This window comes from Homo sapiens, chromosome 1, assembly GCF_000001405.40.
Source record: "Homo sapiens chromosome 1, GRCh38.p14 Primary Assembly".
Lineage (NCBI taxonomy): Eukaryota > Metazoa > Chordata > Mammalia > Primates > Hominidae > Homo > Homo sapiens.
Genome location: NC_000001.11, coordinates 40,992,882 through 41,005,293, shown reverse-complemented (window position 1 = coordinate 41,005,293; position 12,412 = coordinate 40,992,882). Strand labels below are relative to the sequence as shown.

Genomic DNA, 12,412 nt, shown 5'->3' with positions numbered 1-12,412 from the left:
TTTGTATTTTTAGTAGAGACGGGGTTTCTCCATGTTGGTCAGGCTGGTCTCGAACTCCTGACCTCAGGTGATCTGCCTGCCTCGGCCTCCCAAAGTGCTGGGATTACAGGCGTGAGCCACTGCGCCCCGCCTGTGACAGTTCTTATATTGTTTGTTTGTGTTTTAAGACAAGAGTCTCACTATGTCACCCAGAATGGAGTGCAGTGGCACAATCTTGGCTCACTGCAACCTACACCTCCAGAATTCAAGTGATTCTCATGTCTTGGCCTCCCAAGTAGCTGGGATTACAGGCGCACACCACCACACCTGGTTATTTTTTGTATTTTTAGTAGAGATGGGGTTTTTCCATGTTGGCCAGGCTGGTCTCGACCTCCTGGCCTCAAGTGATTAACCCAACTCAGCCTCCCAAAGTGCTGGGATTACAGGCCTGAACCACCATGCCCAGCCAAGTTTTTATATTGTCTTAATGTTTCAGACTCTTGTCTCTCTGAGATAAACAAGTACTATTTCTTCTATACTTCTTTCATCTTCAGCAGCTAATACAAAGCCCTACTCAACTGTTTCACTCAATAGCTCAGTCAGAAATGAACTGATTTCAACTCAACCTTTCTAACCTTCATTGAACTTACCGTCTAACCAAAGCAAAACCACTAAAGACCAAAAGGCAAAGGACCAAGTTCCTGGTACTATGTGAACGCTGGGCACTGTTCTCCTCCTGGCCTGAACCAGGGTCCAGTCTCAACTGAAGTGTAAGCTCATCACCAAAGCACCTACCCATTTGGGAACCTAAGTGAGAGGCAGAGGTCTGGGGCTGTGAAGGATCCAGGGAGACCAGAAAGCCAGCTCTGGGGTGGCGGGTGATAAGACAGTGCCTCTCAGGACTCAGAAGCCAGCACTCAAGGGCATGCTGTCTACCAAACTAAGCCACACCGCCAGGTCACTGTGAAGCAGCCTCTCAGGGAAAGGGTGAATGAAACCCAGCCCTAAACCATATGCTGGCCACCAGAGTCACTTGTTCTTTATAAAGTCAAACTGCTTTTACATTCCTTCAGGTTACTTTATTTTCCACAGAATTTACAAGGTCTTTCTGAAAATCTAGTATTTGTCGGGTGGGCTACAGAGAATAAATGGGCTGTGGTGGACCATTCCAGGGTGGCCCCAGTGCAGCATGCTCAGTCTTCACACCCATGTGTGTTCTCCTCCCCTGCCGGCTCGGGGCTTGGCCACGTGACTTGTTTTGGCCAACGGGACATCAGCAGGCCTGATAAGTGCCTGCATAACAGGCCTGTCATTTTGGAGTCCAGCTGCCCACCCTGTGTGAGGAAGCTTGGGCTGGATTAATGAATGATGAGCCACTAGGTGGAGACAGCATCTTGACGTCCCGGCTGGGCCGAGCTCACAGCTGAACACAAGGCAGGAGTGTGCCATCTCAGATAGTACACCACGTGCAGCTGAAACCCAGGCACTGAGCCAAACCACAGAATACTGAGATGAGAAGTCACTGCTGTTGGGAGCCACTGAGCTTTAGGGAGGTCTGTCACATAGTAATACACAGCTAGGCGAAGAGCTGATATTATCTGAGCATTTCCCTATTTTCCAGGCACTACTAGAGACTATTTACATACATTATCTCCCTTAATCATGTGAAGTACGTACCTTTATTACTCCCATTTTACAGAAAAAACGGAGGCCCATAAAGGCTAAGTAAATTGCTTAAAATCACCCATAAGCGGTAAGGTTGGAATCTGAGCCCAGTTTCAATAGCTCCAGAGCCCAGGTTCTCATAATAACTGCCCAAGCCTCACTTAGGACAAGGACTTCACACCAGGCACCAGCTTCAGGATGGTGGCCACGGTGATCAAAGTGACAGAATCTCAAGAACAGGAACACAGAGGCAGAAGGCAAAGGAGGGAGTCTGGCTGTGCTCCCTCCTTCCTGCATGGAGGAGCCGTGCTGTTCCTCAAGAGGCAAGGCAGCTCCCTTACGGCACACCATGAGGTGCTAGGAACCCAGGCCTGCCCTTCTCCAAAGCTCCTGATCACCCAGGCGGCAACAGGCCTCATATCCTCCAGAAATACACAAGCGGGAATTGAATGAGTGTCTTAATGCACGCTTACCTTGCCATCCCAGCACGTTTCTTGAGAATTCAACCACTGCCAACTGCATCCCTAAGCACACGCCTTCCAGTCGGGGGGAAAAAACAAACAAAACTCCATTGAAAAGGCAGCTCCTACTTTTCCCAGCAGCCTCTGCAATGGCCTTTGTGTCCTTTATTTGGAGAATTATAATTGCAAACTCATAACTTCCTGCTATGAACAAGTACTCTCTGCTGTTACACTTTACTTGTATTAGATTTCAAAAACTGCATGTAAAGTAGATGAAAATTCTAGATTTGCAAAGTTATCCGATTTTAGAAGTAAGTGATATTCTATTCAGTACTTTTTTCCCCCCAGACAGGGTCTTGCTGTTGCCCACTCTGGAGTGCAGTGGAGAGATCTTGGCTCACTACAGCCTCAAATTTCTGGGATCCAGCAACCCTCCTGCCTCAGCCTCCACAAGTGTTGGGTTTACAGGTGTGAACCACCGTGCCTAGCCTCAGTACTTTAAAATTCAAGTTTTCTTACCCTCTCTCATTAAGTTTTTATTTATAATTGTTCAAGTTGAAAATTACTAAAATGTACAGCACCAGGAGGCATGCAAAATCATTTTGTCCAATTACAGTCAGCTGTTGTGCCAAGTGAGCAGATATAAAACTCAACCTCACGTGTGCTACAAACAGCTGGGTTCATTAAATGGACAGGAATTCACAATTCATTCTCTCAAAATTCCACGACATCTACATGTAGCTCATAAGCATAAATAAGCTTTCCAAGACTGAATTTGTCTCTAAAGAGAAAACATGAAGGCTTCTACTTGAGCTCCTATCCACAAAGACAGCATGTTTCAGTAATCCCCCCACTTTGTTCATAGGCTCCCACGTGGCACCGTTCCCCACTCTTTCCTACTCTTAAGTGAAGACTGCACTGCAGAGCTCCTTACCCAAAAAAGGCTTTTTCTGATTCCGAGCCCAGGCAATTGCTTGGATTTTTCCTTCTGTTCCTCGAACACCAAATCCTCCTGGAACCAGCACTCCACTGCACAAAAGAACAAACCACAAAGGCAATTCCCCTTTTCTACCAGTCCAACTTGCAATAATCGCCTAACGGGCCATTACCAAGACACTGAAGCCATGAATTAACCCCATACATTGTGCTACTGTGACAATGAATTGTATGTAAACACTATCAACTTAGAAACTGCATATGAAACTATGGACTTTTCTTAGTAACTTAAGAACATGCTTATTGCAAGTGAAAAAGATAGTATACATAATTGTAATACTGCCACTGCACTATCTTTGGTACTGAGTTGTTCACAATTTTTTTTTCTTGAGACAGGGTCTCACACTGTTACCCAGGCTGGAGTGCAGTGGTGTGATCACAGCTCACTGCAGCCTTGATCTCCCAAGGAGCTGGGACCACACCCAGCTGGTTTTGTTGTTTTTGTTGTAGAAACAGGGTCTCCCTATGTTGCCTGGGCTGGTCTTGAACTCTTGGGCTCAAGCAATCCTCCCACCTCAGCCTCTCAAAGTTTTAGGATTACAGGCATGAGCCACTGTGCCCAGCCCAAAATTTTAAATACATATATTAATATTAACAATTTATCTTACCTCTTGGCTTAAAATGCTCCCCTAAGGGGGCCTTTCTTCATCAGCTCTGTGTGCCGTACTGACCAAGACACTCAGAAGAAGGTGTACACCTCCGTAATATTCAACTGTTCTAGTGAACCAGAAATTCTTGCTAATGTTTTACTATTATAAATAACAGCTGCCAAAACAACTGATGAGACTCTACTGATGGGTACTCATCAAATGTTCTGGATGAAAAATCCTTAAATGAGCCTCATCAATAGATGCATATGGCAAACAATATCAAAATCAGAGCAGCTTTTCAGATCCAATGATATTGACAAGCTGCATTTTTTAAGGATTAAATCAGATGGCATGTAGTCTTTTCAACAATTAAAAAATATTTTAACAAGTCAATTACCTACTACTGGCACATGAAAACAAGAGGACTTTTTCATTAAAACAAACCAAAAGAACTCTGGAAACCCAAGGCAGCGAACTCTACTCACTGAGCACTACAGAGCTTCTGCCAAGCTTCGTGGTAGCGCACGGGCTCTTCTTGCGAGGTGATGGGCTCCAAGTCCGCAGAATCTATGTACTGGATGTTATTCAGACAGGGGAGAAAAGCAGGCTCGTGACCCCAGGCTGTGCGTTCTTAATTTTTAAATAATATTATCATTTTATCAAAGTTGTCTTTCTTGATTCTGGCTTTAAAGTGATCATCTTAATACTGGCTTTAAAGTGATCAACTTAATATATTTAATAACTTAAACATTTTTTAAATATGAGGTTTTAAAATACAACAGTTTCCTTCAAAATCATTAAATTCCCAAATCTCTCTCTTTCTGCACTCTACTGTGTTCAGGATCGGGTCTCAGCTAAGCCTCTGCAGCAGACTCTAGAGGGCTTTCTGTTCAATGACAGCCTCCTCAGCCCATCTTCCGCCCAGCTTTTGTGGGTTTTTTCTTTTTCTTTCTACCATATTGAAGCATAATTCACATACAATAAAATACAAGCATTTTAAGTGCATACTTTGAAGAGTTTTGTCAAACATACACACCAAGATATAGAATGAGCCGGGCGTGGTGGCTCACACCTATAATCCCAGCACTTTGGAAGGCCGAGGCGGGTGGATCACTTGAGGTCAGGAGTTCGAGACTAGCCTGGCAAACATGGTGAAACCCCATCTCTACTAAAAATACAAAAAAAAAAAAAAAATAGCTGGGTGTGGTGGCATGCACCTGTAGTCCCAGCTACCCAAGAGGCTGAGGCAGGAGAACTGCTTGAACCTGGAAGGCAGAGGTTGCAGTGAACTGGGATCATGCCACTGCACTCCAGCCTGGGTGACAGAGCGAGACTCCATCTCAAACAAAACAAAACAAAACAAAACAAAACAAAACAAAACAAAACATAAGTTACCATCTTCCCAGAATGTGCCCCTCTACCTCCTACCCCAAACAACCTCAGATCCAATTTCTATCATCACAGATTCGTTTTGCCTCTTATAGAACATCATATAAATGGAGCCAAATAGTATATAACCTTTTGTGTCTGGCTTCTTTTGCTTAGTGTTTTTGAAGTTCATCCATGTTGCTGTGTTTATCAGTTGTTTGTTCCTTTTCTTTTTTAACTTTTTTTTGCAGAGACGGGGGTCTCGCTATGTTGACCAGGCTGCTCTCGAACTACTGGTCTTAGGCGATCCTCCCACAGCAGAGCCTCCCTAAGTGTTGGGATTATGGGCTTGAGCCAGTCAGTGTTCAGCCTGGTTTCTTCCTTTTCATTGCTGAGTGGTTTCTACTATATAAATAAACCATTACAAATTGATCCATTGACAGGCTATAAATATTTGGGTTGTTTCGAGATTTCAGCTATTACGAATAATTTGTCCATTTGAATAAAAATCTTTTTTTGTGGACGTTTTCAAGTCTCTCAAGTGAGTATCTGGGAATGGACTTATTGGATCACACGTCTCTACCTTGATAAGAAACTACCAGACTGTTTTCTAGTGTGGTGGTGCCATTTTACACTCCCGGCAGCAAGGTAAGAGCTCCACAGCCTCTCTAACACTCAGCCGCTCTAGGGGGTTTGTGTCACTATCTCATTGTGACTTCATCTGCACTGATTTCCCTAACTAGAGGTGTTGAGCACCTTTTCGTGTTTATCACCTACATCTTTTTTTGGAAGTGTCTGTTCAAATCTCGTGCCCACTTTTTAAATTAGGGTGTTCACCACTTTTCTACAATCTCCTACCTAAACCCTGCAGTTAGTTTCCTGAACCTCAGGGTAAGACCCAGATTTGGCCCAGTTCATGGAATTGTGGGCAGGCCCTCACCAGCCTGTCTCCAGACAGCCTCCAATTCACAATTTCCATCCACAGTGTTTCCAACTGCTCCACATCTCCAAGCCCTTGGACGTGCTCTATCTATTCTAACAGGAATGCCCCTTCCGAGCCTTCTCCATCCTACCCAACCCAACCTGGTGTCCCTCCATGAGGAAGTCTGCCTTCCTCATGTGTCTGCCACAGCAGGTTCAGCCTCTCCTATGTGCTCCTTCCTTCCTAAGAGACTCAATATTCCTTAAAGGCGGAGACCGTTGCCTTTTCATCCATCTCTCATCCTCTGCCACCTGACAAACACATGGCAGCCACAGACTAACTCCAAGTGGATAAAATAAATGAATGATGGAAAGAACTAGCAAATAAGAAGTCAGGGCTGTGTAATGGGATTTAAATTCTTAAAACTCGTACAACAGGCCATTCTGCAGGAACCTGTCCAGCAGCACAAAGCAAACTAAACTCTCACGCTGAGAAACACCTGGGAAGTAGAAAGCAAACCCCAATGTGGGGACAGCTACATGGGGCCTGTTTAACAACCTCAGCACTGAGCCCCAACTTTACCTCTGACCTTCATCTCTTCCTGAAAAGCTTCAGCTGATGGGCCAGGAAGAAAAGGAATAAAGGGGACAGGCAGAAGGGAGGGTTTAACGACAGCTGACATAGTGCTTACCATATGCCAGGCATAATTCTCAGCACTTTGTATTCATGAACTTCTTACAACAACCCTAGGAGGAAGGCACCATCACCATCCCTTTTTAACAATGTGGAAACTGAGGCACAAAGAGGGTTAAGTAAGTTGTCTAGGTCTCACCGCTTGTAGATGACAGAGCTAGAATCTGAGCCCTGGTCACCGGGCTCAGGCATCCATGTTTTTTTTTTTTTTTTTTTTTTTTTTAGACAGAGTCTCACTCTGTTGCCCAGGCTGGAGTGCAGAGGTGCAATCTCGGCTCACTGCAACCTCCACCTCCCAGGTTCAAGCAATTCTCCTGCCTCAGCCTCCCAAGTAGCTAGGACTACAGGCACATGCCACCATGCCTGGCTAATGTTTTGTATTGTAAGTAGAGACAGGGTTTCACCGTGTTAGCCAGAACGGTCTCAATCTCCTGACCTCGTGATCTGCCCACCTCGGCCTCCCAAAGTGCTGGGATTACAGGCATGAGCCAACGCGCCTAGCCACGGCATCCATGCTCTTAACCATGACACTCTACTGCCACCCACAGACAAGCAGGGCCATGCCCCACCATTCCACCAGCTCAGCTGCTGCCCGCCATGGCACAGACCAGAACACAGTAACTACCATTTACTGAGTGCCTGCCCTGCATCCCAGAGAAACCTCACAGCTCCGTGAGGTCAATACTGTCATTCCCACTCTGCAATAAGTGATAAGCACAGGTTAGGAAAGGCAGCCCACATGCCAACAAAGTCTCCAAGAGCCTCCAGCTATCAACTGTGCAGCATGCCTGTGGTCCATCAGTGGTCCCCATTTCCACAGGGCATTTTATTTGGTTACCTGATAGTCATAGCCAAGAACTCAAGTCTCTCTCACCCTCTCCTCTAGCCATCTCTCCCCTTCATTAATTCCTGAAAATGCTCTACTGTCTTCTCAAAGCCACGAAGCAACCACAAATCTTTTTAATCCTTAAAAAGTAATTCCTTAAAAAGTAATTCTGAGCTCCAAACAGAAAGCAGATATGACACAGCACCTACGAGACTACAGACTGCTTCCCTGCTCATCCTTTGGCTGTACCTGTGCCACCCTCCTTACCTTGATTTCCAATTTGTGGTTGATGGCCAGTGCAGAATGCTCCAGAGCCTTAATGACAGAGGCATAGGAGTCTGAGAACTTCGTGTATTTGCCCACAAGGGCAATAGAGCAGGTCTCCAGCAAGCGATCATATCTATCAAATAAACGTCAAGAAAAACCCAATTACTCAGAAGGTACACGCTATCATGAGACCAAAATAGCTATTTCAAGGGAAAAAAAACCACGTCTGGCCAGGATGAGCTCACGCCCATAATCCTATAATCCCAGCACTTTGAAAGGCTGAGGCGGGGGGATCTTGAGCCCAGGAGTTGGAGGTTACAGTGAGCTGACTGCACCACTGCACTACAGCCTGGGCAACAGTGTGAGACCCTGCCTCAAAAAACCCCCACAAAAAACAACAAAAACACACCTGGGAAGAATATAACGGGAATAGCTATTATCTGAGTTCTGTGTACAGACCAGTAAAGAGGAAGTAATTTTCAGATCAACATGGCAGGCTTTGTAAAGAAAAATTTTTTTTTTGTTTTTGTTTTGAAACTTACAAAGAGTTTCAACGTCTCACACAAATTTGCCTACAAAAAATTTTTTTCATACCAAAGACCAAAAAAAATAACAGACATAGACAATTCACAAGAATTAATGGGGTGAAGGCAAGTGTCAAACAAATTATGGGACATTCACAAAATAGAAAAGTCCACACTCATTAAAAGTTTTCATTGTAAAATATAATAACAGAGCAAAATGCTTATAATGTTTTATGAAAAAGGATGATAAAACTGCCATTCTGATAGCTATATGTAAGCAGACAAAGACTGAAAGGAAAATGTTGAAATGAAAAATGATTCTCACAGAGCAACGGAATGAGTATGCCCTCTCCAAATGCTTCTAGGCCATCATATTGATCTTGCAACTAAGATAAGGCCTGCCCATTGCTCTAAGACACGAAGTGAAGATTTCTGAAGGAATGTGACAGCATCACCGAGCCTTAAAAGGATGTAGTGGAGTAGGCAGCAACACATCCCCGTCCTAATGTGATCCCTTTCTGGTGTGGGGTGAGACACATTCCCAAACACAGCTCAGAACTCTGGAGTGGTACCCAGGAGTGCTCCAGCCACTGTCAGCCATTCGTGTGGGCTTTGGATATGCACACTCACCCGCTGCCACCAGGACGCCCATCTGCACTGATCTAGTTGGTAAGAGACAAGCGTGTTAAGACATAACCCGAACTCATTGTCTGGAGGCCCGGCACCTGGCCTGGCCCTATCAGGATCTCCTCATCTGTGCCACAGCTACGTGACAGCTAAGATCCTTTCTGAACATCTCTTACTACAAAGGCTCTTCTAATGAGTGGATGGCAGAAGTGCAAAAGTACAAAAGTGCTAGGGCTAGAGTCGGCTTCACCAGCCCTACAAAAGAGTAAAGGAGGCTAGCACTCCCAGCTCCTCATTGCAGGCAAACCTGTCAGCCATCTCTTTCCATTTCATCAGCATTTTTCTTGGCTGCCTCTCAATAGGAAGGTCAAGTCTTCGAAGAAAATAATCTACAACCCCTTGCTCCTCTAACAACAAGGGGACTCGGTAGATGGATGAGACATCGTGGACACAGATCACCTGTTTAGAAAAAAGCAAGTTATTAAATAAAAGCAAAAACTCACCAGGCTTACAGCCTCCTACTAGCTACGTGACCTTGTAAAAATATTATGTATTTGAAAACAGAAAAAAGGACAATTTTCTAGATAAACTACTAAAACAGACTCAAGAATAGAATAGAAAATTAGTGGCCAATCTATTATGAACATGGATGCAAAAGTCCTTTAAAAAAAATTCATGGCTGGGCAAGGTGGCTTATGCTTATAATCCTAGTACTTTGGGAGGCCATGGCAGGAGGATTGCTCGAGCTCAGGAGTTCAAGACCAGACTGGGCAATATGGTAAAACACTGTCTCTACAAAAAAATACAAAATTTAGCCAGGCATGGTGGGCATGTGCATGTAGTCTCAGCTAACTGGGGGGTAGCTGAGGTGGGAGAATCACTTGAGCCTGGGAGCTTGAAGCTGTAGTGAGCTGAGATTGTGCCACTGCACTCCAGTCTGGGTGACAGAGTGAGACTCTGTCTCAAAAAAAAAAAAAAACACCCAAAAAATTAGCTGGGTGTGGTGGCATGTGCCCATGGTCCCAGCTACTCGGGAGGCTGAGGTGGGAGGATCACTTGAGCCTGGGAGTTGGAGGTTGCAGTGAGCCAAGATCGCATCACTGTACTCCAGCCTGGGCAACAGAGCCAGAACCTGTCTTAAAAATAATAATAATAATAATTCATGATCCAAATCACAAATGTAGCTTTAAAAAAATCATGTCCACGAACCTATGAATGGCTTAACTAGGAACAGTGGTTCTCAAACTCAGCTGCATATTGGAATCATTCAGAGCTTATAAAAGGTCAAAAGCCCATGCTGCACCCCAGACCACTTGAATTAGGATCTTGTGGGGTAGGAGGCAGGCATCAGTATTTTTAAAGCTCCCCAAGTGATTCCAGTGTGCAGTCAAGTTTGAGAACTACTGTGTTAGGAAATTTAACAGTGGAATTCACCACATAAATAGAAAACAGATTAAGGAGGAAAACAATTCCCTCAGTAGATGTAGACTTGATAAAAATTCAAAACCAAATTCATAATAAAAATTATTGGTAAATTAAGATTAGGGAAAATTTGGCAATATAAAAAACCCACAGTAAACATCACATGGTTTAATATTAATGTTTACTATTTAAAGTCCAGAACAAGGCCAGAATGGCCACTTTCAGTACTTCTATTCAATGATGTACTGAAGATATTAGCCATTATCATTAGATAAGAAAAAAAAATGAACCAGAAAACAAGAAGCGGTTGCCACTGAATAATGCATACAATATCACTGCTTATCCATAAAAACCAAAAGAATTTACAGGTAAACAATCAGTACTAATAGAATTTTAGTAAGGTTGCTAGGCTGTAGATGAATGGACAGAGGTCAGCAGGGTCTCCTACACATGGGGTATTATCTAATCAGAAAATATAATTTTTAAAAATACACGGTAGTAATAAAAATTATGAATAGCTATAAATAAGTCTAAACAACTTTATGAAGATTAGTAAATCTATAATGTACCTTTATTTTTAAAAAGTACAGAATAGTATCCAAGGATAGTCTTTTCAACAAATGGGGCTGAGGCAAGTAGATATCCACATGTAAAAATTTCAACCCTTACCTCACACTACACACAAAAGTTAACCTAGAATGGATCATGTAAGACCTAAAACTAACTTTTACAAGAAAATCTTCATGACCTTGGTTAAGAGCAAGGAGTTCTTAGACACGACAGTGAAAGCACAATCCATAAAAGAAAAAAACAGATTGGACTTCATCGAAATTTAAAAGTGTCTGTGCTCTAAAAGACACTATTAAGAAAATGAAGGCCAGGTGCGGTGGCTCACACCTGTAATCCCAGCACTTTGGGAGGCCGAGGCAGGCAGATCACCTGAGGTCAGGAGTTCGCAACCAGCCTGGCCAACTTGGCAAAACCCCGTCTCTACTAAAAATACAAAAATTAGCCAGGTGTGGTGGTGCATGCCTGTAGCCCCAGCTACTCAGGAGGCTGAGGCAGGAGAATCGCTTGAACACGGGAGACAGAGATGGCAGTGAGCCAAGATCATGCCACTGCACTACAGTCTGAGCAACAGATCAAGACTCCATCTCAAAAAAAAAAAAAAAAAAAAAAGAGAGAAGAAAATGAAAAGACAAGGCACAGATAGGGAGAAAATATGTGAAAATCACATACCTGATGAAAGACTTGTATTCAGACTATATCAAGTCAACTCAGTAAGATAAACATTCCAATTAAAAGAGTAAGTAAGGCTGGGCATTGCCGGCTCACGCCTGTAATCTCAACATTTTGGAAGACTGAAGCAAGAAGACTGCCTGAGCCCAAAGAGTTCAAGACCAGCCTGGGCAACCATAGCAAGACCTCATCTCTACAAAAAATAAAACAGCTGAACATGGTAGCGTCCGCCTAAGGTACTAGCTACTCAGGAGGCTGAGGCAGGAGGGCTGTTTAAGCCCAGGCTGCAGTGAGCTGTGACAGCACCACTGCACTCTAGTCAGGGTGACACAGCAAGACCTTGTCTCTTAAAAAAAAAAGGCAAGGCCAGGCGTGGTAGCTCACACCTGTAATCCTAGCACTTTGGGAGGCCAAGACGGGTGGCTCACCTGAGGTCAGGAGTTCCAGACCAACTTGGCCCGCATGGCAAAACACCATTTCTACTAAAAATACAAAAATTAGCTCGGCATCGTGGCAGGTGCCTATAATCCCAGCTATTCGGGAGGCTGAGGCAGGAGAATCACTTGAACCCAGCAGGTGGAGGTTCCACTGAGCTGAGATTGCTCCACTTCACTCCAGCCTGGATGAAAAAGTGAAAACTCCATCTCAAAAAAAAAGCAAAAAATCTGAAACTTAAACTTAAATGTGGAAATACTTGTTACATTTTTAATAGTGAATATTTTTAAGGCCGGGCGCCCTCACACCTGTAATCCCAGCACTTTGGGAGGCTGAGGCAGGTGGATCACCTGAGGTCAGGACTTTGAGACCAGCCTGGCCAACATAATGAAACCCCA

The 12,412-nt window shown here is 44.1% G+C and overlaps 1 protein-coding gene across 11 annotated transcripts in view, besides 1 other annotated feature; it reads right to left on the bottom strand.

Moving 5' to 3' along the window:
• Window positions 1–12,412, bottom strand: part of CTPS1 (CTP synthase 1) — a 32,870-nt gene that overhangs the window by 7,272 nt on the left and 13,186 nt on the right. For 9 of the 11 annotated variants that reach the window (NR_125440.2, NM_001905.4, XM_047447471.1 and 6 more), the window contains 5 exons: window positions 9,226–9,377; window positions 7,768–7,900; window positions 4,177–4,265; window positions 3,040–3,134; window positions 2,118–2,180 (listed from right to left, as the gene is read on the bottom strand). Coding sequence is in view for 10 of the 11 variants with exons in the window: in NM_001905.4 (NP_001896.2) it covers window positions 2,118–2,180; window positions 3,040–3,134; window positions 4,177–4,265; window positions 7,768–7,900; window positions 9,226–9,377 (532 nt within the window). In the remaining variant the exon portion in view is untranslated. The other 2 variants (XM_047447472.1, XM_024453561.2) reach the window with 2 other exon arrangements.
• Window positions 1,154–1,303: an enhancer, noted in NCBI's record as "active region_859". NCBI's record gives its function as "activates an Ori minimal core promoter by ATAC-STARR-seq in GM12878 lymphoblastoid cells {active_cell/tissue: GM12878}" and the evidence as "EXISTENCE:reporter gene assay evidence [ECO:0000049][PMID:35858748]".